We start from the raw sequence: 24,555 nt of genomic DNA on the forward strand, positions 1-24,555 counted from the left end.
AGGAACTTTGCCTAGACTTGGAGGTCAAGAGATCCTTCTCTGAGAAACAATGCTTACATTGGTGAAGGGGAAGGCAGGGGAATGGGAAGGAAGAGCTTTTGAGTCTGGGAAAACAGCATGAACAAAGGCTGGAAAGTGAAAGGAGCAGAGTTTGTCTGAGGAACTGGAGTAAGCCAAGATCTCAGCTGGGCTTCATCATCGCTAGGAAGCCTTCCTTTACGTGTCCCTGAGAATATTTTCAACACCTCCTCAGAGCTGTAATGATTCTCTGTGCATAATTCCATCATTGTACTATGTTTCTCACATTGTAATATAATCATATATGATTACGTATGTATCTATCAGCTGGGTCTTCCTGTCTAGACCACAAACTTTTAAAAGGCAATTTTTTAAAACTTTTATTTTAAGTTCAGGGGTACAAGTGCAGGTTTGTTACATAGGTAAACTTGTGTCATGGGGGTCTGTTGTACAGATTGTTTCATCACCCAGGTATTAAGCCTAGTACCCATCAGCTGTTTTTCCTGATCCTCTCCCTCCTCCCACCCTCCACCCTCCACCTTCAAAAGGCCCCAGTGTATGTTGCTCCCTTCTATGTGTCCAGGTGTTCTCATCATTTAGCCCTCAGTTATAAGTGAGAACATGCAGTATTTGGTGTTCTGTTCCTGTGTTGGTTTGCTAAGGATAATGGGCTCCAGCTCAAGGCAATTATGTTTTAAGTCCCAACACTTAGTAGTGCATGATATGTTAAAGGTGATTGGTAAATGTTAGTCAAATAAAACAAAGAATGAATGATGGCAGTAAGCTCAGAATTATACTCTGGAATAACTTCCTGAAATAAAGCTAATCCGTTTAGCCAATTAAGCACCAAGCTACCATCTTTCACAACCAGTCCAACTAGTGAAGGGCTGAGAATCCTAAACGATGGTGGAGGGGCTCTACTGCCACCTCAGGGAGTCTGTCAAGGGAGGAGCTGAGGGCCATGACAGTGGTTTTCTTAAAACAACAATAACAAAATATGTTTTTGGTTCCTCTATCACATGGATGAATGCCCAGGCAGTTTACTTTTAATTGCCTCAATAGCTACTCAATAAATATTTGTATTTATTTGTAATTCTATTATGTTCCAAAAGAAAATTTAGGGTACCCACAAAGGGCTACCAACTTTTTTGTCAGATAAAGATATTAAAAAAAAAATTCTGCTATTACTATCATTTACAAAATCTCTCAATTTAAAGAGGAATCCTTTGGATCAAACCCATTTAGCTTTAGGGAAAGTTCACTGTACTCTCTTGATTGTTATCATTTTGCTGGGACCCCGTAGTGACAGTTGGGACAGCCTTTAATGATGTGAGAGCAGTGATTGCACGTAGAGGATGCCCTGCTGGCCGGGGTGATGTGGGGGAGGCATGTCCAGGGGAAGGAGGGTGGCTGGGTCCTGAAGGGCCAGCAGTTGGGTAATCCTGGCTTGGAATCCACTTGAAGAAATTATCTCCAGCAAAATGTCCAAAAGCAATTCAGTGATGTCTCTGGGTCACTCTGGGCATTAATTTGAATAGCAAATATCTATGCGAGTAAAATCTGCTCTTCTTTAATTAAATTAGGTTGACACGAATGAACAGCTGAAAAGAATAGCCCAAATGAGAATTGTTGAATATGACTACAAACCTGAATTTGCATCTGCAATGGGAATAAACACTGCCCATCAAACAGGTACACACACAAATTCCCCTTTTAATTTTGTATTGCCAACTATTAAAATTTTAATTACCTCTTTATTTTGAGGTTATGTGCTATGGCATTTGACAACGCTATGTTGATCTAACTTGTTCTCTGTGAAACTCATAGTCACTAGAACAGGAAAGGTTAAAAAATTTCTGTGTCATTTTTACTCAACACCCCCACTCCTCCACCCCAAGGTACTGGTGGTGTAGGTTGAATATATAGTTTCTTTGCACAGGAGTCCTTTTGCTCATGGGCTGAGGGTTCAGGGACAGATGATGGCTCAACCTATGTGAGGAACGGCATTGGGCAGTCGGGAGGTGGAGGGAGAAGGTGGCAGGGTAAGTGGATCTAGATAAGAGAAGGGGTAAGCAAAGTGATGTTTATACTCCAATCCAGGAAGCCTAAAGAAGGAAGGAATAAAGGAATATTTTAGGGGCAAAGGCTTCCTATAGGAAAAGAAAGGAAATCAAGCCAACGCCCCATCTTTACTTCTATGGACAGGGATTTTAAGGCACTTACCTCCCCCCTGTTGGCCCAGAGTCTCAAAAAAAAAAAAAAAAAAGGAAAAGAAAAAACAGAAAACACTCCCACTTTTAATCCTATAGTGGTTCTTGGCTCAAAATTCCTTCTTTGCTGCAAATGTATTGTAGATCAAAGCAAAAGCTTAGAGAGGATTTTCTCCAGAAAGATCTTTCTTTGAAGATTAAACCTGTGGAGTGTTTTGTATACAGGAATGATTGCCCAGGAGGTGCAAGAAATCCTGCCCAGAGCAGTAAGAGAGGTTGGTGATGTCACCTGCGGAAACGGAGAGACCTTGGAGAACTTCCTCATGGTGGATAAGGTAATCACTGAAAAGATATCAGCTGCTATAAGCTATCAGTCTAGGGATAAACCCCCTTCTGTGATAGCACAATGGGCTGAAACATCCAACCAGGAAGTGGGACATTAAAATAATTCTTCACTGAGTTGTGGAGTGAGTAGGTATCAACTCTCTTATAATTGATATTCAAATTGATCATAAGCACCAAAAAGAAGTTCCATATGATAAAAAGGAAAATGCATATGCAATAGTAAGAATTCGAGTTCAGCAGATCTTAACTGGCACTAGGAAAGTCCACTTAGCATGAATGCACTTTAAACAAGGGCCAAACATCATGATAAATACTGACAAAAAAGTTTTAATTAGACTTCATCTTTTAAAATGGTAATAAACTTATGAAAAATGCATTATATTTTAGGTAATGCAACTTAAATTATAATTACACAATGTGTTTCTTCTTAGAATGATTAAAGATTAAGTGAAGTGTTGAATTTTTTGAGCATAGTTTTTTTGATGAAACGGTGTTTGACTTTTACAGTATAATCATAAAGTGAGTCATTTTTATGAAGATATTCATGGGCCTGATCATTTTTTTCCCAAGGGCCTCTCTTAATTCTTTGATATTCAAATCATTCTCTTTTGAAGGAATGCCATCATGCCTGTAGATTAGCTCGTCTTCATTTGGTAATGGGTCTAAATCTGCCAGTTCCTTGCTTGTCGATGCTGTGTGTATGATTTGAGGAGTTCCCTAATACCATATCTATTGATTCTATGAAATCCTGCATTTTTGCAAGGTTTGCAAATGCACTCTGATGCTGATTTGTTTTATACTGCATTATTATATTTGATGCTGAGAGGAAAGACCAATTGATATAAGGGTTTTGTAGTCATGGGGAGAGATGCTTGAGTGGAGACTAATTTATAATTTGTCAGTTAATGGAGGTAATGCTCCCTGAACTTCAAAGTGCACATGCATCACTGGGAATCTTATTAAAGTGTGGATTCTGATTCTGCAAGAATGGAGTGAGGCCAGAGATCCTGCAATTCCAACCAGCCTCCTGGTAATGCCAATCTTACCAACCTTGCTGGTCAGAAGCCACACTTGGAGCAGCAAAGCAGAGGATGCCTTTTCATGTTAGGCACCACCACCATCTTCCACCTACCAGCCACTGTACCACAAACTCTTAGATGACATGGTCTGGGAGGCCTGCTCAGCCCAGGGCTGCAAGAGCACAGTGGCAGAAGTTGACTTACTGCCTCCTGCTTCCCAAGAACATATCTTCGATAGAAGCAATTCTTCAGTCTCTCTCCCAGACCTGGGCTATCATTTCACTTGAGAGGTATATCATGAAACATTTATTTATATATTTATTTCCCAGGTTTTTTATTGTGGTAAAATACACAAAACATAACATGTATTATCTTAACCATTTTTAAGCATACAAGTCATTGATGTTTGATACGTTCATCATGTTATACAACCATCACCACCATCCATCTCCAGAACTCTTTTTCATATTGTAAAACAAAAACTCTGTACCTGTAAAACAATAACTCCCCATTATCCACTTTCCCTAGCCCCTGGCAACCACAATTCTATTGTCTGTTTCTATGATTCTGACTACATATAAGCAGAATCATAGAGCATTTCTTTCTTTTTTTGTGGCTGGCTTATTTCACTTAGCTTAATGTCCTCGAGGTTCATCTATGTTGCAGTGTGTATCAAAATTTCCTTTCTTTTTAAGACTGAATAATTTTCACCTTTATTCACATTTTGCATATCCATTCCTATGTTGATGAACTCTTGGGTTGCTTCCATGTTTTAGGTATTGTGAATAATACTGCTATGATTGTCAGTATTCAAATGTCTCTTCAATATTCTGTTTTCAATTTAGGGGGAATATTTACTCAGAAGTGGAACTGCTGGATCACATGGCAATTCTATTTTTAATTTTTTGAGGAACCACCATACTATTTCCCATGTGACGATATCATTTTACATTCCCACCAACAGTTCCCAAAGATTCCAGTTTGTCCACGTCCTCACCGATGCTTGTAATTTTTTTTTTCTTTTTTCAAACAGAAGCCATCCAAATGGGTGTGAGGTGATATCTCATTCTAGTTTTGATTTACATTTCCTTAATGATTAGTGATGTTGCACATCTTTTCATGTGTTTATTGTTCATGTATATATCTTCTTTGGAAAAATGTCAATTCAAGTCCTTTGCCCATTTTTGACTTGGGTTGTTTACTGTTGTTAGGTTTCAGGAATTCTCTATATATTCTGGATATTAATCCCTTATGAGATATATAATTTGCAAATATTTTCTCCCATTCTGTGGGTTGTCTTTTCACTTTCTTAATAGTGTCTTTATGTACAAAAGTTTTAAATTTTAATGATATCCAGTTTATCTATTTTCCCTTTTGTTGCCTATGCCAATGGTGTTCTATCCAGGAAATCATTGCCAAATCCAATATTGTAAAGATTGTGCCCTTTGTTTTCTTTGAAGAGTTTTATAATTTTAGGTTTTACATTCCTGTTTTTGATCCATTTTTAGTTAATATTTGTGTTAGGTAAGAGTCCAGCTTCATCCTTTTGTATATGGATACCCAGTTTTCCTGGCACAATTTGTTGAAAAGACTGTCCTTTTCCCATTGAATGGTCTTGGCATCCTTGTCTAAAATCATTTAACCATATATGTGAGAGTTTATTTCTGTGCTGTTTATTATATTCCATTTGTCTGTATGTCTGTCTTTATGCCAGTACCACACTGTTTTGATTACTCTAACTCTGTAGTAAGTTTTGAAATCAGGAAGTGTGAGTCATACGGCTTTGTTCTTGTTTGGGGGGATTTCCTTGTCTATTTTCAGGGTCTCTTAAGATCCCACGTGAATTTTAGAATAGATCTTTCTATTTCTGCAAAAGACAACGTTGGGATTTTGATAGGGATTTCATTGAATTTGTAGATCACTTTGGGTAGTGTTGACATTGTAACAATATTAAGTCTTCTAATCCTTGAACATGGGATGTATTTCTGTTTATTTATGCTTTCTTTAATTTCTTTCAGCAATGGTTTATAGTTTTTATTGTACAAATCTTTTACCATGTTGCTTAGTTAATTCACAAGAGTCTTATTCTTTTCGATGTGATTGTAAGAGGGATTTTTTTCCTAGTTTTCTTTTCAGATTGCTTACTGTTATTGTATAGAAATGCAGCTAATTTTTGTGTTGACTTTGTATCCTGCTACTTTGCTGAGAAATTTATTTTTAATAATAAAATACTGAAGTTTTCCAATAAATTACTTAAAAAATAAAATAGGGCCTGTTTTATTATTTCTAGGGCCTATTTAGAGGTCCTTTTTTTGAAGTAAATTATTAGAAAACTTTAGTATTTTATTATTAAAATACAATTAAAGCTTTTTTTCATAAGCTTTCTGTCATGAAAGGAAAGGAGTATAAACACAGCTATTAGTCCCAGGGTACAGCCTTGGGAGTATGTCAGCAAGCTGCCAAGGTGGGGGCTTATGGGGTTACCCTCTGGAAGCAGCTATATAACTTCTGGATGTGGCCCTCCACTAGAACACTCGAAGTGTTCCTGAGTGGCAATGTGTAGGTAATGTCTTCCTGTGGCAGCCAAATAATTAGTTCTCTCCCTTGTTTCCAGTATTTTCCCATTCCCTAGTTGAGTTGATTGGGAATAGTTGAGACAGAATCTTCTCTTTCTATCAGTTCCAAGGTCCATCCTCCTTCTTCCAGGAGAGGCTACAACCTAAGCTCATTCCTAGGAAGGCAAACTCAGAGGTCTGGAGAGGTAGGGGGTAGCATTCCTGTTCCAGGCAGCCAGCCTCATTCATGTGTCACCTGAGGAGAAAACCATGCCAAGGCAGCACTCAGTTTATAAATTGGTAAAACTCACAGGAGTCCAGGAGGGAAATGTTGTGATTCTCTTAAAAACAGGACCCTGGAGTGATGCAATCTATGGAGATGTCACTAAGGCCACACTCACTTACAGAATCTGTAACACCACAAGCAAGTGAACATCTCCCCACTCTGATGATGGAGGAGAAGCCCGGCAGTGTGCTGTGCCTCACTTCTGAGGATAGACTTTGTTTGCTAGTTTAACCCTCAACACGGTGGGCTATCCCTGCCTACCTTATAAAAGCCTCACAGAGCATCTCCTTTTTCTTTCTTTTTAAGAATACAGGTAAAGTGGCTCCTCTTGTCCCATGTTCTTTGTTAATTGTAAAACAAGCAGTATGTACAGCGAGCCTCTTGCTTTCCTGGACTTTTACCTATTCATGTGGGCAGTGTGGCTTTGGTTGCCACCTCCAGGGCTGCTTGTTTTAAGGAACTTTGCCAGGACGTCCTGGGCTTCATGTGCTGTAATAAGTGGAGGAGGTCATATGAAGGTACAGCCTCTCCATTCTTCACTCCATTTCTGTCCCATCACCTGATCCTTTTTTGTAAAGAAATTTTCATTGAAGTTCGAATGCAAATTAGAAACACTTAGGAAAATGTTGAAATATTGCCTCCATGATTGCTATGTCACTTCTGCAGGTACCTCACAACCTGATGCCAAAATAGGAAAAAAGAATGTCTGGATCTTTATAGACTGTCTATGCAAGCAACCAAAGGGGGTGATCGTTGTCAAAGTTGGTACAAGCAGCTTTTCTTTCTCCCTTCTCAGGACAGATGACCTTACAAAATAAACTACTTATCTGGGGTAATTTGCCTCTTCTCATATATTCCCCACAGTGTCCCTGTGCCCTAGTGAAGGCCCAGTGGCAGGAGGTGGAGTGAGAGGGATTGGGAGTGACACTGAAAGCAAGGGGACCTGTAGGCTGTAGACACCTGGCCTAACCCTGCATTAGACCGGTGGCAGCTTGGCCTTTTCTGCTTGTTCATCTATCTCTTTATTTGGCAATTTTATTTGTTTCTGTGATTCTTTCAGGGCAGGTGATCACATTTTTTGAGCATTATTATTAGATGTGCTTGCTGTAAGAAAAACATACCCAGTAAATATAAGTACTGCCTTAAAGTAATTCACAACTGAACCTGTTTAAAGGTGAGGTGTGTCTTGTGAATAATTATTCCTTGGACAATTCTTGTTGTTTTTTTAAATTTAAGATTGCATGCTGTACACCACCCTACTGTGGCTTAGTATGTGGGTACTTTTTACTCATTGATTCTATTTTTTTTAATCATAATGTACCAGGAATTGTCTATTTGAATGATGCAATGATAAGTAACCCTTAGTTCCTGTCTCCAAGTAGCTTATTGTCTAAGAGGGGGATGATAAGACAGGTACACAAGTAATAAAGCTCTAAGTAATAATGTGAGAAATACTATGGGATGCATAAATAAAGCACTACATCAGCTCAGAGGAAGGAGAGAAGAAAGCTGGAGACGGGGCAGAGGTTCACGGGTGGAAAAGAAGGGGGAAGACTTGAGAGGCAAGCAAAAGAAGACATGATGGACCTTGGGGACTGAAAGTGTGGCCAAGGGAGGACAGATGGCTTCTCAAACCTTCCTTTTTCTTGTCCATGATATGCAGTTAAACACTCAGTACTATTTTTCTTCCTTTGGCAATATCTTTGTATATCAGTTCTCTTCTTTATTCTCTTTATTCTTTCCATTTTTCTCCCACACTATTATAATGATCTCCTAACTGACCTGCTAGCCACCAATAAAATTATCTTCCTTAAAAACAAAGCAAAACGAATCTCTGATCATATAATCTCCCTTTCCCACTGGCCCTTTACTGGCTACAGACTGTTATAACCCCTCCACAATCTGGATGGAGTCTTCTCTTTCTAACTCGTTTCCTAATGCTCCCATAACCCCTGAATCCCATGATGCCTTCAGTGCAGCCAGACTAAATGACTAAATAAGTAAGGTCATTTATATTTGAAAAATATTTCATTTTCTCAAATAAGCTGGGCCCTTTCAGAATATGATGTGTTTGTGTCCTTACCTTGGAAGCCTTTGCTACTGCCCAACACTTTGCACTGAAAACTCCTACATATTCCTTCAAAAGCCTGGCGTTTCCCTGTGCTGCCTAGCTTTCATCTCTCTCCAGTAGCTTCCACGGCTCCCCTTCCCCAGCCCCTCCCTCTCTCTGTTCCTCAAACCTGCCAAGTATGTTTCTGCCTCAGAGCTGTTCTGTTGAGTGGTTCTCAGCCCTAAAGACTCTTCAGATGATCTCATCATTTGGGCCTTAGAGCAGTGCCGAGGCCTTCCTTAACCACCCCATATAAAATAGTCCCTGAATCACTTGGTTTCATTTTAAGAGTCAGGGCCACTGTAAGAATGTGTAGTGCCATTGCTCTAATTTTAAAAAGGGGCCTCCTCTGGCTGCTGCAGACCCTATCCACCCCCTCGGTTGGGCCTGTGCTGTAAACAAACTGTAAACTTGTTCAGGGCAGCCTGGAGGGTATTTGTCCCTAACTGAAATCATCTTGTTTATTCACTGACTTTTTTTTTTTTTTTTTTTTTTTGCCAATCTCTCCTATTAGTTGTATGAGAGCAGAAATTTATGCGTTTTAAAACTATCCAACACTTTATTGTGGCTTTTACCCCAGAACTTTAAGTACTGTAGGAATTCAACAAATATTGGTAACATGAATTAATGAATTCTGTGATGCCTTGGTTGATCCTGTTTCTGTACTGCCTTAGGCCTCTGCATATACATCTTCTAGACTATTTATCACATTGTATTGCCATTCTCTTTCCGTTATCTTTCTCCTTCACTAGACTGTGAGACTCCTGAGGTCAGAGAATCTGCCTCATCAGTGCTGTGTTGATTAGTACAGTATCTGATACATTGTGGATACTGCTGACAAAAATTTGTGTATATTAATGCCTGAGTTTTTAAATCTCCATGAAAGGAAGAGAAGTGGTTTTATTGACTTAAGGAAATCTGAAGGAGAAGTGATTTTCTGAGGAAAAGATAAGGTCAATATTGGCTTTGAGATGTCAACTGAACATTTAGATGAAAAAAAAAAAAAAGTCCAGAAGGTGACTGTGAGTGTAGAACTTGGGAGGGCAGCTAGGGTAGAGAGGAAGCTGCAGCCATGGATGAAGATGTTAATTAAGGAGGGAAAGGTTATGGGTATAGGTCACAGGTTGCAAGCCTGTGGCCAAGTCTGGGTTACAGACATTTTTTCCCCATAGTGTTTTAAAACATTTCAGATTTGTTCCCTACATTTAAAAATTAGGAGATCTTCATAAAAGTATCAGATTTATGGGTCCTTTGAAATATCAGAAGGGCTGGGCACTTGGGCTTGGAAGTGGCCCCTCCAATGAGGCTTCATGTGCCCTCGCATCACTGCTATCTATTACCTTCTTGGCCCTATGGACTTTCAAGTTTGTATGGAATGAGAAACAAAAAGAACCAAAGAACCGAAAGCAACACCTTAAGGAACACACCCAATTAGGGCCTGTAGAGGAAGAAAAGAATGTGTGAGGGCTGAGAAGATTGGATGAAAGTAGGAAGAGAACATGGGGCAAGCACAGTGTCAAGTGAACGAATAGGATCAATAAGGAAATGGGGAGGAGAGAGATGAGATGTGTGGCTCTCTCTGGAACCAATACAAGGAGTGGGGTGCAGGATACACACAGACTTAATTTTATAAAATACTGCCTATTGTTGCTCAGTTCTCATTCATAACAGCAGTGCTTGAGGCTTACTGTTTCTCTGTATCCTCAACACCTGACATTATCAGACTTTCTAAATTTTGCAATTCTGATTGAGTTAAAGGAGCATCATATTGTTTTAATTTAACTTTCTCTGATTAGTAATAAAGTTGTGCATCTCTTTCTTATGTTAGCTATTAGGTTTTTCCTTCTGTGAATGGTTTGATTCAGTGTTTCATTGGGTTAACTTGTCTTTTTCGGGACAAGAATATAACTTTTCACTTGACTCTATTATTTTATTCTTTCCTGGTACTTTCAAAAATAAAATGAATATACCAAGTCTATAGTAACAGCTTAAGAGACTGACAATTATTTTCTATTTCAATGCCTTGTTAGCTTCCTTCCTAGTGCTAATTACACCTTTGAACTGTATTATTTATTTGTGGTTTACTTGCTATTGGTCAATCTCTCCCACTAGAAGATATTCTCTATGAGGGCAGAGATCCTGTCTACTTTATCTAATTGTCTTATCCCTGCACTCAGGTGAGTGTCTAGCATATCATAGGTGCTTAATAAAGAACTACTGATTGTGTTCATCAATTGAATATTGAGGTGCCTGTGTCAGGTACTGAGTTGGCCCTGAGGAGTCACAAGAGAAAGTCACTGCCTTCAAAAGGAGCTTGTAAATCATCTTGGTAAGACAAGAAATCATAGAATTACAACAAACTATGGCATTTGCTAGTTCAACTGGAAACTTGTCTCCGTCAAAAGACTCAAGCCCTTTCCACAGAAAATTGCACTTAAATGAAAGTAACAAAAATTAAACGAGGATTCTAAGGCAAACAAAGGGCAACAATATTGCACACAATTTTAAACACTTTTATGAATCTTGTGCTCTTTCCATGTAAACCAGAAGAGAAATGAGTCCAAGATTTGTCCTGTTTGCAAGAGAAATATACATGCTAGGGAAGTCTGTCCTCCAGAGACCTGTTGAAAAGCCACCTGGAAGTCTGAGCTTCCACACCATCCCAGCAGCCTGCTTTTCTGGTTTAAGGATTCTGTGTTTTTAAATCCATGTCAGGGCCCAGTACGCTCTCCACAAAATAAACTCCTGGACAAAAATCTAAAGCTGAGTTTATTCAAAGCCCAAACAATTGCCAGACACACCCATTGGCTAAAGACAGTTTTTCTCCCGTTGGCAATCATTTTTACAATGCTCGATTACAAGCTGTTTTATTCCCATGGTTTTATTATACAACCTCAGTCCATGCAACACCAGATGCATCATTTACCATAAGGAGAGATTTTCAAGTCTGCAATGCTCTCTTATGAGGAAAGAAAGAAAGGCCTATTTCAACTTCTTGAAGCTTGCTTTGCCATCAGGCTAAGTTACCCTCGCTCAGTGTCACTAAATAAAGGATGAATTGTAGCTTCCAAAGAGAGGAGAAATCAGCTCCTCTGCCTGGCTGTGCCCCAATATCTTGGGTACATTATCTTTAGACCTGCAATGGACCCAGGAGCTTCCAAGCTGTGTTCTGCCGAGTCCAGGGATTTCCTGAAGTGGGTGAGGTGAGAGGGAACTCAAGGGCTTTCATCTGTTTCCTGAGCCAATCTCCTCGCAAAGAGGACAGGACCTAACCTGAGTAGAAGCTGGTTTGTTAGATATCATCGAATCACCAGCCCATTGCCCTAGATGATAAACACTAGTGTTTATCTAATTCACTCACATTTCCATGGACATTTCCCAATATGAAAAAGGAATTTGGACCTTAGGTGTTTTCTTTGTTTCTGTTTTTGTTCTGTTTTGTTTTGTTTTTTGCTTCTCTGAGAGGTACTTCAGATAAAAGAATAAACTAGACACTGGTACTCTCTTCATTTCTCTAGAGAGCAACACTATGACCTTTCAGTGCCTCGTGCCATGAACCACCTGTAAGAATATTTATTCATGTAATCATCAAATGTGTACTGAGTTATTAGTCTGTGCTGGAGTGGCAACTATGGATGAAATATAAGCTCTGTCCAGGTGAGCCCACTCTCTAGGTAAATCTGACACCAAGTTTAAGGAAGGTGGGAGCAGGGGAGGACAGGTGATTCAGGTAGAGGAAGCAGCATGTGCTAGATCCAGAGGCTAGAGGAATCCTGCCATGTTCAGTGAATGGCAAATGGTTCAATATGGTGAGAGCATGGAGCGTGAAGAGGGCTGTAGTGAAAGATGAGTTTTAGATAAGGGATACCCACTCTGAGCTCACTAACAGTTCTGATTTCATGAATGCTTTCCCATTGTTTCCATGTGCAATACACTTGCCGGACTGCCTCTAGTGCCCATTTAGAAAACATGCTCATTCTGTCCATATGTACCCTAACTCCATAGCAAGTCTCAAACAGTGAGTAAAAGTTTCTTAGGTTATTTGAAGCAGTTGCCACCTTTTGCTTCACAATCTCATTAGAAAATTTTGGTGGCAAGCTGGTTTAATCATTTTTACATCACAACTGTAGAGTGGTGTTTCAGCTGAGGTAGTGGACCCCATTTAAAACTGTTAATAGCTGGACAAAGTAGAGTAATTAATTGGGTTCAATTACAAAATGGTTAGTCATCAAGGATGGGCATCAAATGGGGAGACTTTTCAAAATGCCCCTCAGCCCTAATGAATCCAAGCTTCTTTAAAACATTTTTTTTTGTAGAGCTGGGGTCTCTCTATGTTGCCCAGGCTGGTCTTCGAACTCCTAGCCTCAAGCAGTCCTCCCACCCTGGCCTCCCAAAGTGCTGGGATTACAAGTGTGAGCTAATGTGTCTGGCCCATGAATCCAAGATTCTACATGGGGTCCAGACATGTGTATTTAGAAAAAATTTCCTCAGGCATCTGTGATATGGGTTCTTGGTTCAAATCTGCTCATACAGACCTAATCACTTGCATAGAAAAGAACATTTTCAGAAAAACTCTAGATTATAGTTTTGAACATATTTATACTGGATTTACTGTAACAATGGGGGACAGAAGTCAGAACTCCAAATATTTCAGTAAGAGTCAACCCCTATAATATGTATTAGAAATTTACTTTTTGGTAATTTTCTATTGGATGGATCCATAAAGTCAGAGCCAGCCATAATTATAATCAGGAAAGTGGTAGTAAATTTCCTCTCCACTTTTATTTCCTCTTGAATAGGAAAATATATGAATTATCTCCTTACCTATTGGATCTACCTGTAAGATATATGGTACTGGCAAATTTCAGTTGGAGAAATTAAACCTGGCCTTTTATCATTATTGACAAGTAACCAGGCAATTGCAGCCATTGCTTGTATCCTATGAGGCAGTATTGAAAGTCCTGTTGAGGAAAACACTGCAGAAAGAACTTTCTGCGGTTTAGAGGGGACTTTATTATAATTCTCCATAGTCTGCTTTGGCTTGAGCTAAATCATAAATTAATGTATTAAGCAATTTTTTTTTAAAGAAGGAGATGGTTACCAAGGGAAAAAAAAGAGTATCAGTAGTGTCAGTGAGGATGGAGAGAAGTGGGTGGCTTTGGGAGATTTAGGATGCCGAACTGACAGTCCTGCGTGGTAGATTGCCTGCCAGTGAGCAGGGTGCAGGGAGGGGTTAGAGAGGACGGCTGGAAATCTGTTTTGGGCTGCTGGTGGACATCAGCTGACCATGTGACCCACTGTAAATAATACAGCTGTAATTATAGTATAAGGCTCTCTACAGGGTAAACATAGTAAATAATGATTTAACATTTATCATGATTTAGAATCATAAAATGCTGTTTCTATCTTCATAATTTCTGCCTTATTTTTATTACAACAAATTTAGAAGTAAAGGAAAACCTGTACCAGGATTAGAAAATTTAGAAGGGCTTTTGTTAGGAGATTTTTGTTTTTGTTTTGTGATTTAAAAAAACACTTTTAATGAAAAATTTCAAATGTATAAAAAACTAGAGAGAATAGTAATGAAACCCCATGTATGCCTCACTCAAATTCCCCAGTTATTCATTTCAATTCTTGTCCAATCTTATTTTATTTAAATCACTCACCAGCGACCCTCTTCCACCAACTAGATTATTTAAAGCAACCTCCAACATCATACTGTTTTATTATATATTGTCAATACTTTTTTCTGAAAGAAAAATGACCTCTTAAAACCAGAACCACTATAACATTATCACACCTAAAAATGTACAGTAATTTCTTAATATTATCAAATCCAGTTGGTGTTGAAATTTCCCCAATTGTTTTTACATGTGTATGTATAAAACAAAGAAACAAATACATGCAATAGTTTTAGTAGACATTGAGGATTATTGCCTAGATCTATTGTTTCATTAGGTGTTGGAAAACAGTGATACTCTATCATTTCTTCTTCATTTATTCTCTGGAATTTATTATCTGGAATACTTTTTAAATGAACTTTCAAATATGTAGATGTTATATAGGACAGGCAGGACAAAGTTTTATTCTTTTATTTACAAGATTTAAAAAAAATGAGTTAAGCCCTTAATGTCTCCCAAAGGTAAATAATAAACTATTTTTAAAAATTGAATAGGATTTTGGATGCTTTTAAAGCACATTTGATTCTTTGTTCTATCATGGTAATTAGCCCTTTAATGTTCTATCTTTGGCCAATGAGAGCTTCTTCAGTTAGCTCCTGAGTCATTTTGACCCAACCACAGTACTCTGTGATAGCTTCCTTATTTTCTCATATTGAAAGATGTTCCAGGTTCACCTCAGACATATCTTACCCCAAATCTGGAAAAGTACTCAAAATCTGGGTCCTTTCACTGGGAATGGTATTTAGAGACTACAATGAGGAGTCTTCATGGTTAGTAGGTGGGAAGTTTTTTTCCAGTCCTTTTTAGTTAATGTAGCTAGAAAATGTCTTTTTCTTTTAAGAAATAAAATATATCAGAAATTAATAGTAATATTTCTAACTTAAATTTAGATTTGCTAGGGTTTTACTAAATGTTTTAATTTTATGTTTATATCTCTTTTCTTAAATGCTAAAAATCTTGGTTTATAGCACTATTAACTATGTATTTGTTTTATCCAAATATATATGTGTGCTATCTATGTGTGTATAATCCATCACTATTATTACTAACAGTATGATTATTGAAAAGCTTAAGATTCCCTTGCTGGTTGATTTTTTTTTTAAATTTTTATTTTTTGTCTTTAGGCTCTATCTCTCTGGGAATGGGCAGTCAAATTACTATGTTTTGAAGTCACTTAATGTCAATCTTCACTGTAAGGTTAAACCAGAAACTCAATACCCAATTAGGCTTATTTGTTTTATTTTGCCTTCTGTTTCTAGGGGATGTTTTTAAAAATTTTGTTTATTTTTTATACATATTTAAAATACCTACATATGGGCCAGGCGCAGTGGCTCATGCCTGTAATCCCAGCACTCTGGGATACCAAGGAGGGTGGATCACGAGGTCAGGAGATCAAGACCATCCTGGCTAACACAGTGAAACCCCGTCTCTACTAAAAATACAAAAAATTAGCCGGGCGTGGTGGTGGGCACCTGTAGTCCCAGCTACTCAGGAGGCTGAGGCAAGAGAATGGTGTGAACCCGGGAGGCAGAGCTTGCAGTGAGCCGAGATCATGCCACTGCACTCCAGCCTGGGTGACACAGCAGGACTCCGTCTCAGAAAAAAAAAAAAAAAAAAAAAAATCGTAAAATACCCACATATTCTAAAGGTTAATTTATAAAAACAGGATACATTCAGAGAATCTGGGTTCTATCCATTTCACCCATCTTGTTTCTTCCTTTCCATTATGTGTAACAATTTTAAGTTAGTTTTTGTTTATTCTTCATTTTATTAATGTAAGAAAATGTAGACATGTTTTGTATTCTTCTTATACTACAGACTTTGCTCCATAACAGTATATAGAGATATTCTTCCTTTCTTTTTACAGTTGCATAGTATACTGCTATGCAAATGTACCACAGTTTATTATCAATTCCCCTATTAATGGACATTTTGTTTGATTGTGGTCTCTTTTATTTCTTAATTTTCTCCAGGAGATCTGTGGAATAGACTCCTAGAAGTGGGTGTACTGGCTCAAAAATAAAAATATATGTAATTTTGCTAGATATTGCTAAATTCTACTCCAGATGGTTTTATCAATTTGTTATTTGGATGGATTTTGAAGGATGTATGGTAAGACTTCAGGAAAAATATAGGGTTTTCTGATGACATTTGAAAAGCTGATACAAGTATGATTTTTTTTGTTGTTGGATTTTTTGTGTTTTTTTGGTAAGTTTTCTTGAAGCAAACATAGGCCTCAGAAATCAAGCTTTTGGTCATTTTACATCCCAAATACAAAGGTTTTCTGCTTCTCTAAGCTGCTAACTCATAGCACTTTTCAATTCACTTGTGTCCATTCTTACTGAGCATTTCCAGTGGGCAAAGGCATGTGCTAAATGCTGGTGAGATATGCAAATAAATCAACATAATTCTGCCTGCCACAAACTCATGATCCAGGTGGGAGACAGACATATAACACCTGATACAAGGCAAATGGCCAGGTGATAGAATTGAACATGCTTTGAGGACACTGTAGAGTGAGGGATGCTCTCTGACTAGTGGTCTCTGGGGAGATACTGGGTATGATGGGATTTGGACTGGCCTTGAGGAAAGGCATTTTTATCTTAGGTAATTATGGGAATGAGGTCTCAGACACTGGAGAGTGCAGGGTGTTCAGGGGGCCTCAACAGATCTGTGTGGCTGCTCTGGGAGTTTCAGAGAGTTCTCCAGTGTATCATGAGATACATCTGTCTTTGAACTGCGTACACTAAGCCTTGAATCTGGAATGTTCAGCTTTTGATTCTTTCTGAGTGATTGCTCTACAGTGTTCGAAACCCTCAAAGCTTCAGTTTGGATGATAAGAATCTCAAAGGCACATAGCCCTGAGTTTGACCCTCAACCACAAAACAGTCTCTATTGCCCTTGAACTCAGCCTTGGACCAGCCTCTCTGCAATTCAGAAAGTGCTGTGGGATTTTGAACTTGCAAACAGAGAGAAAGATAGGAGGAGAGGTCATGGGGTTGGAATGTGAGTTGATAAGAGCTTTCCAGGCTTTTTGTTATGGCTGAGAAATGGGCATATGTGTTCATATGACAACTGAAGTGTGTGGGTGGGGAAGAGGATGGCCTGGACTCTCTGGGTTTGGTTGGTCTCCCCTTTCTTTTTCTGATGTGTCAGTGACATTCTGTGAACAGGAAGAAATATGTGCTTTAAAAAAATTGCTTTTTTTTAGTTAGGCTACAATATAAGCAGTATACAATAGTTCATTGGATTTTGAAGCAGATATTGACACCTCAATAATTATCTTCTCATTTATAGATGAAGAAATGGAAGCACAGAGAGGTTATTGCATTTTGTCTGGAGTCTCACTTCTAGCAGGTGACAGAACTCAGAGAAAAGCCCAGGTCTTTGTTCCTTCTTCCCTCACATGAGAAATTTGATGCGTATTTTATTAGGGAGAACTAGAGTCATTTTCTATGAATTTTGGTTATGAACAGACAATTCAACATCATTCAGAAGACTGTTCTGACTTTCTTTCTTCTTCTTCTTTTTTTTTTTTTTTTTTTTTTTTGAGATGGAGTTTTACTCTTGTTTCCCAGGTTGGAGTGCAATGGCACAATCTCAGCTCACTGCAACCTCCGCCTCCTGGGGTTCAAGTGATTCTCCTGCCTCAGAATTTTAAATATGGAATAATGGCCATTGAAAATAAATCTTTCAATTCCAGATTTGCCAATGTCCTTCAGCTCCATTTTTGAGTTACAAGGTCATATTTTCACTTTATTGGAAATTGAACAGAAGCAGTTTACTACACAGCCAGCAGTTTAGCAAGACTGTGTTCAGTTTCAAACCTCTCCAGATTTATCTTGAATGAACTTGAAGATGTGTGTGTCTGTAACCATTTTCAACAGTATAATCCAGCTGTCTTTGAATGGGCTGTAGACAGCTTTGTAGTGATCTCAAATTGTTAATTTATGCACTCTGTTTGATTTTTCCCTTTTAGGACCAGATCTTTATGGAAAATGTAGGTGCAGTGAAGCAACTGTGCAAACTAACTAACAACCTTGAGGAAAGAATAGAAGAGTTAGAAATATGGAACAGAAAGCTGGCCCGGCTAAAGCGGCTCAGTAGTTGGAAGTCATCAGCCAGTGAAGCAAGCACAATCAGGTACGTGCAGCCAGGATTGCCATAGAAATTTGGGGAAAGGAGAGAGTGAGCTCTTTCCAGAATAAGATCAATCTAAATGGTCTTTTTGATCAAACAGCAACCGCTACTTTCTGATAATGAAGTCTGCATTTTTCTTTTAGAATATTTTGGAGCACAATTGTCTGATGTGATAACTTTCTTAGTTTTTTTCTGTTGCTGGTTTTTTTTTTTTTTTTTTTTTTTTTTTTGAGCCTGAGTTTTGCTGTTGTTGTCCAGGCTGGAGTACAATGGCACAATCTTGGCTCACTGCAGCCTCCTTCTCCCAGATTCAAGGGATTCTCCTGCCTCAACCTCCCGAGTAGCTGGGATTACAGGTGCCCGCCACCATGCCCGGCTAATTTTTGTATTTTTAGTAGAGACAGGGTTTGACCATGTTGGCCAGGCTGGTCTTGAACTCCTGACCTCAGGTGTTCCACCCACCTCGGCCTCCCAAAGTGCTGGGATTATAGGCGTGAGCCACCACGCCCGGCCCTGTTGCTGTTTTAAAAGTGGAAAAAAACCATGAGACATCTGTTTAGTAGCAGTTGTTATAGGAAGTGCTAAATTTTAGCATAAGGGTGGCTTCTCCTTTAATGAGGAGAAGTGGTCATTTCTAAATTTAGAAAACCATGTTTGGTCCTCAGGGGGAAAACTTTCTGTTATTTTTTTTTTAATTGCTTAAGAAGGTTAATGCACATTTCCTGGGGTTTAGTTTTGAGAAAAAGAGAAATACAATGTTTAATTCATTCAGTTATACTTACTAAAGTTCCTTTTCACAAAAGGAACTCTCCATTGCCATGACTTTTTGTTTTCAAAATATCACTGTATTGCAAAAGAAAGTCATATTGCTATGTTAGTGACAGCCTGGGCCTTTGTCATGTATCTCCTGGAGAGGTATTTGAATAGTAACCAATTTTCTCTCTCTTTTAAAGCAAATCTAGCAGAGCCGTTAGTGCATCTTCTCCAAGAAGGGCCGTTCATAAAAAAAACAACAAGGTAAATAGACACATTTACAATGAAAGGAAATGATGTTTTCTACTTAAAAAGTCTTTAGAGAAATCAGTCAAGAATTTTTTTCTCATTTCTTTGTTCAGAAAATCCCTAGTTTGCATCCTTATGTACTATATGTGTTTAAATATTAGCCCTCTAGTACATATTAAATGGCTTTTAAAAGCAAAGTTTAGAGAAACGAGTACAGAATATGTCAGTCTCAGAATTATTATCTGCAAGTTTTTGTTTATGTTGTCCCCTTCAGGTGAAAGTCAGCAGCCTCGTCATACAGATGGCCTTGTGCTGCCAGATCTATGTACATGCCTTGACCGCCACCCCCTTATCTTTGGCTTTAGGAGATCCCAAAGGGACTTTAGTTAATCCTCAAATCCCTCTTTTCCCTTTGATATTTGGTACTAAATATGCAAATGGAAGAATAGGTATTCACTTGCTGGCAAAGGTTAAAATGTGATGGTTTTATTAGTGAATAAAGAAAGCATTTATTAAGTAGGATAGTATTTATAGTTAAAGCGAAGGTTAATAATTTATTAACTTGAAGGACACCCTCTCCATCACGAGAAATATCAGTAAGGAAGAAGCTGCAATACACCCTTTCTAGCAGCACTTTGTAAGTAGCTACAAAACTCAGCTTGCTCCCTCTGATCCAGCAGTGGCCCAAAGGTGGCCCTTCCCTGGGGAAGATATCCATGACCTTAAATGACACCCTATTAAAAGTTGACTTGATGCTTGTGCCACTGCCTCAGTTTACTCTCTACTCCTCATGCTATACTGTGTTGAATTATTCTAAAAGGATTCAGAAAGAGTTCAAAATTCTTCTACTAAAAACAAGTAAAGTATTATGCAGCTGACAAGCTCCTTAGTGTATTGACAAACACAAATACCCAGGTAAAAATATACGTAGAAGTGCTCTGGGGCAAGTTACTCAACCACACTGGGAAATAGGGACAATTATAGTATTTACAAAGATTGTTGATGGGATTTAAATTAGGATTAGGGGAGCTAAAGCTCTTTGCACAGCACTCAGCACATAGTAGGTTAGTCAATAAACACAAAACATGAATGTAGGAAAGGTACCCTTTGGACTAAACAGTTTTCAGTGGGACAGAGGGAATGGTATCCACATCTATGGCAGCCCTGATAGGTGCAGTTTGGTCACCTGCAATCTCTGTAGCTCCCATCTTGCAAAATAAGAGATTCTCTTTATTTTGCAGTTATCTCAGAATATTAACTAGAATATATGGCTCATGAGAGCAGGCCCTGTGTCTGCCTTCCTCACTCTCATGTCACTAGGGACTAGCACATAGTAGGCACTCAAGAAACGTTTATCAAATGAATACATGAGTGGAGAGCCCAGTATGAAAATATTCCCAGAAGTATGACAACTTAAATTAAAAAACATTAAGTGGCTCAGTGTCTTGGGTATGTGGGTGGGGTGTAAGCTGTGGTGCGGTCCCAGGGTCAGGGACTCATATAGGGCTTAAAGAGCACCCGTTCAACTCAGAGACCTCTTGCTGTCACTGTAGAGGGCATGTGGGAGGCAGAAAGGATGAGTCAGGTCTCTTCTAAGGAATTGCATTGTAGCCAGGGAAGATTGGAAAAAAATACAAAGAACAGTTGTACCTGGATGTCAGCAATGCTGCAGAGGCTCAGAGTGCCAGGAGGTTTATGAGAGTTGAGCCTTAAAGGAGGAGTAAGCTTTGGCTAGACATCAATGAAATTGAAGGAGAAGTTACAGATGGAATGGCATAAATGAAAGTCTGGTGGCTAGAACTGGCTTCCTTGAAGGATTAGGTGGGAGTTGTTTGTTTAGGGAAGATAGTGGAAGATGAAGCTGAAAATAAAGAAGCCGTGAAGGCATTTTGAATAATAACAATATCTAAGTTGTATAGTTTCCCTTCTTTAAAAACAGATAGTAAAAAGGAGGCAGCATAGCACTGTGGTTAAGAGCATAGATTCTGGAGCCAATTTTTGTGGGGTTCAAATTCCTGGCTGTGTGATTCATTAGCTGTGTGATCTCGAGTGAAACTTAGCCTTCCCCGTGTCTCATTTTCCCTATTTTTAAAATGGGATTGATAAAGGTACTTGCTTCATAGGGTTGTAGAGGATTATTGTGAGGATTAAATAAATTGATAGATGTAAAGCACTTAGAAGGGTGCATGGCACATAGAAAGTGCTGCATAATAGGTTGTTATTAATGTGTTCAAACTCAATATTTTAGTGAATCTCATTTCAGACTTGTCCAGGGAGCTCAATAAAACACAAATAACCAAAGTGCTTGCTCCCTCTGTGCTGACCTGCTAACAGATCTGAGCTCTTCCTGTGAGGTTGACTTTTCCTTCCATGCCACGACTCATCTCCTAGTTGTCCTCTGTTCCTTGGGGACTCTGTGGGTCATGGAAATGCTTGTGTGTGAGTGGGGAGTGGTATTCTGGGGTAGGGTGGGGGTCTTGTTAATGAGCAAATTGATGCTGTGAGCAGTTAGTGGGTCTTACCAGCTGGTAAGAAGCCTGGCTGGGCCCTGCCTTTACTTCCACACAGCTCCCAATGCTGGCCAAGATGGTGTTCATTCTGGAGGAAGATTGAAGTCTCCTGATGTAGCTCTCATTCAGTCAGTAGGGTTCCTCTTTTTTCCCTCTCTTTCTCCACCTCCAAGAGGTAGGTGGGTCATTCTTGCTATACGTAGGACTCAGGATGAGATAGGAAGCTCCCCAGGGTTCAAATAAGAATTCACTGACTATTTGGAGGAGGAGAGGGAAAGGGAAAGAATGAAGACGGCTGGGCATGGTGGCTCATGCTTGTAATCTTAATACTTTGGGAGGCCAGAGTGGGTGGATCACTTGAGCCCAGGAGTTCAAGACTGGCCTGGACAACACAGTGAGACCCCATAGCTACAAAAAATTAAAAAATTAACTGGGTTTGGTGGCTATAGTTGTAGTTACTAGGGAGGCTGAGGTGGGAGGATCGCTTGAGCCCAGGTGGTAGAGGCTGCAGTGAGGCAAAATTATGCCATTGCACTCCAGCATTGGTGACAAAGCAAGACCCTATCTAAGAAAAAAAAAAAAAAAAAAGAACACGGATAAATACTTTTTATTGTCCTACCTCTTACAGGTTCCCAGTCCCTACCCTCCCCCAAATAAAACCTATTGAATCAGAATTTTACATGTAGGGCATTTAGGGTTTTCTCAAGCACCATAGTAATTCTATGCACACCTTAATTTGAGAGCCATTACACTGTTCATTGGATATGCCTAATAACTCCAAAAAGTAGGCAGGCATTATTTTATTATTCCTATTTTACTGATAAAGAAAATGAGGATCAATAACATTTAGATAACTTGAAGACTCAACTCTAAGTCTGACTCCAGGTCTTAGGCCATTTCTCTATATTAGGTCAAAGGATTTTGAGGAAAAGCATGGAGACTTAAAATAATTCAGCAGCTGTGGGGGTAGGTTGAAGGGGAAAGCACTTACCCTGAGACTAATCCTATTTAATTCCAGTCAATTCAACAAATTTCATTGAGTTTCTTCTCTGTGCAGTACACTATTAAGACGTCCTCCGAACAGTTTCTGTGAGACCTCAGAACAGTATAAACCATTGACTTCTTGGTCATCAGAGCAGCTTCCAGCTGTACTTACAGATGACTCAGTTACAATAGCCCTAAGGGTCTGTGTACTTGGTAAAAATGGTATAGTGAATCCTATGCCCCTACCCTATGTTACATTGAAGAACATTTACTTTAGTCAGATAACTAGCCCAATAAATTAAGCCAAGAACCAATTTAAAATTATTACCACCTTATTCTACCCAATAAATTAAACCAAGAACCAATTTAAAACTATTACTACCTTATTCTAATACCCTAATAACCAAAAGCATGACTCTATCCCAAATTCCCCGGAAGCAAGCAGATATAATACTCCTTATTGCATTTATAGGAAACTCATATTTAAGTAGCACCTCATTTAAGTGGGCAGAAAACTTCTATCTCTTCAGCCAGATTCCCCAGCAGTTCCACAGCTGTTATTCTGCAGCTCTTGGCCTGTTCCCCATATGCAAGTTTTTATACCAATATGTATCAGTCCTAAAGTTTTGTCTCATTCACGTCCTGGAGACTATAATTTACTGATTTTCATGTCTCCTATAGTGTTGTACATAATACTGCTCAATAAATATTGTTGAATGAATATGAGAACAAATAAGACACAGGCCCAGAGATATCTGTATATACAGGTGACAAATTGAATACTGGTGTTATAATTTTAAAAAGTGTTTAGTGGGATTTCATTCTATAAAAACCTTTTTCATAATTTGTCATGATACCCGAAATCATTCCATTGGAATTCATCTCTTCATGTCTTGAAGATCTTTTGATTTTCAAAAGTATCCTACTCAAAGAGATGCACATCATCTGTGGTCTGACAACATCTCATCTCAGGTCCCCGTTTCTCATAAAACTGCAAAGATAAGTAAGTGCCCAATGAATGGCAAAGATCATTGTCTGCAGGATGTCTGGGAAAAGGGAGATTGCTGTAGCTTGGAATTTCAAGGAAAGGGAGGTACTTGAGATAGACTTTGAAAGAATGTTGTTTTCAGAGAGGCAGGGAGGAGGAAAGAGATGTAAATTGAGGCAAGCACTCAAACTATCCCAAGAGAGCAGCAAATACCCCTGCTGGGAGCAGTTCTCCAGGCTCCCTTCTCACAGTTAGAGTTGCTAATTTATCACTGCTCATTACTGAACCTTTTTATAGGTTTATTTTTCAGGAAAAAGACAGGCGTGTCCTAATTGGGTTTTCCAGACCTTGGTTATAACTCTGATTGCTGTGATGGCATTTTGGTAAGAAAAAGTTCACTGTTATGCCATGTCAAGCTCTTTTGTTCCTTCCCATGTTTCTTTTATCACATATGAACTGGGGACTGGCCTGTTTACTTTGAAGACAAGAAGCCCTTTAAACTAGACACTGAACTCTGATAGCATAGAAATGAGGGAACCTTTTTTGAAAACTCTTATTTTGAAGAAAAAAGCACAGGCTTTCTGCCTTAAATGTGACATGATTTTTTTTCAATTAACTGCTATGTTTAGCAGCAAACTGTGCCTTTCGTGTGTGTGTGTGTGTGTGTTTGTGTGTGTGTGTGTGTATGTGTGTATGTCTTTCTTAGC

The 24,555-nt window shown here is 38.9% G+C and overlaps 1 protein-coding gene across 1 annotated transcript in view, besides 1 other annotated feature; it reads left to right on the forward strand.

The window, feature by feature from the left end:
* MYRFL (myelin regulatory factor like) overlaps nucleotides 1-24,555 on the forward strand; it is a 133,871-nt gene that overhangs the window by 83,141 nt on the left and 26,175 nt on the right. Inside the window, exons 12-16 of the mRNA NM_182530.3 lie at nucleotides 1,602-1,710; nucleotides 2,454-2,563; nucleotides 18,204-18,367; nucleotides 19,318-19,381; nucleotides 24,146-24,231. Coding sequence (NP_872336.2) covers nucleotides 1,602-1,710; nucleotides 2,454-2,563; nucleotides 18,204-18,367; nucleotides 19,318-19,381; nucleotides 24,146-24,231 — 533 coding nt within the window. The remainder of the gene's footprint in view (nucleotides 1-1,601; nucleotides 1,711-2,453; nucleotides 2,564-18,203; nucleotides 18,368-19,317; nucleotides 19,382-24,145; nucleotides 24,232-24,555) is intronic.
* Nucleotides 23,744-24,439: an enhancer, noted in NCBI's record as "OCT4-NANOG-H3K27ac hESC enhancer chr12:70325891-70326586 (GRCh37/hg19 assembly coordinates)". NCBI's record gives its function as "activates a minimal SCP1, AML or CMV promoter by ChIP-STARR-seq in naive H9 embryonic stem cells {active_cell/tissue: H9 hESC(naive)}" and the evidence as "EXISTENCE:reporter gene assay evidence [ECO:0000049][PMID:30033119]".

The sequence above is a fragment of the Homo sapiens genome, chromosome 12, assembly GCF_000001405.40.
Source record: "Homo sapiens chromosome 12, GRCh38.p14 Primary Assembly".
Lineage (NCBI taxonomy): Eukaryota > Metazoa > Chordata > Mammalia > Primates > Hominidae > Homo > Homo sapiens.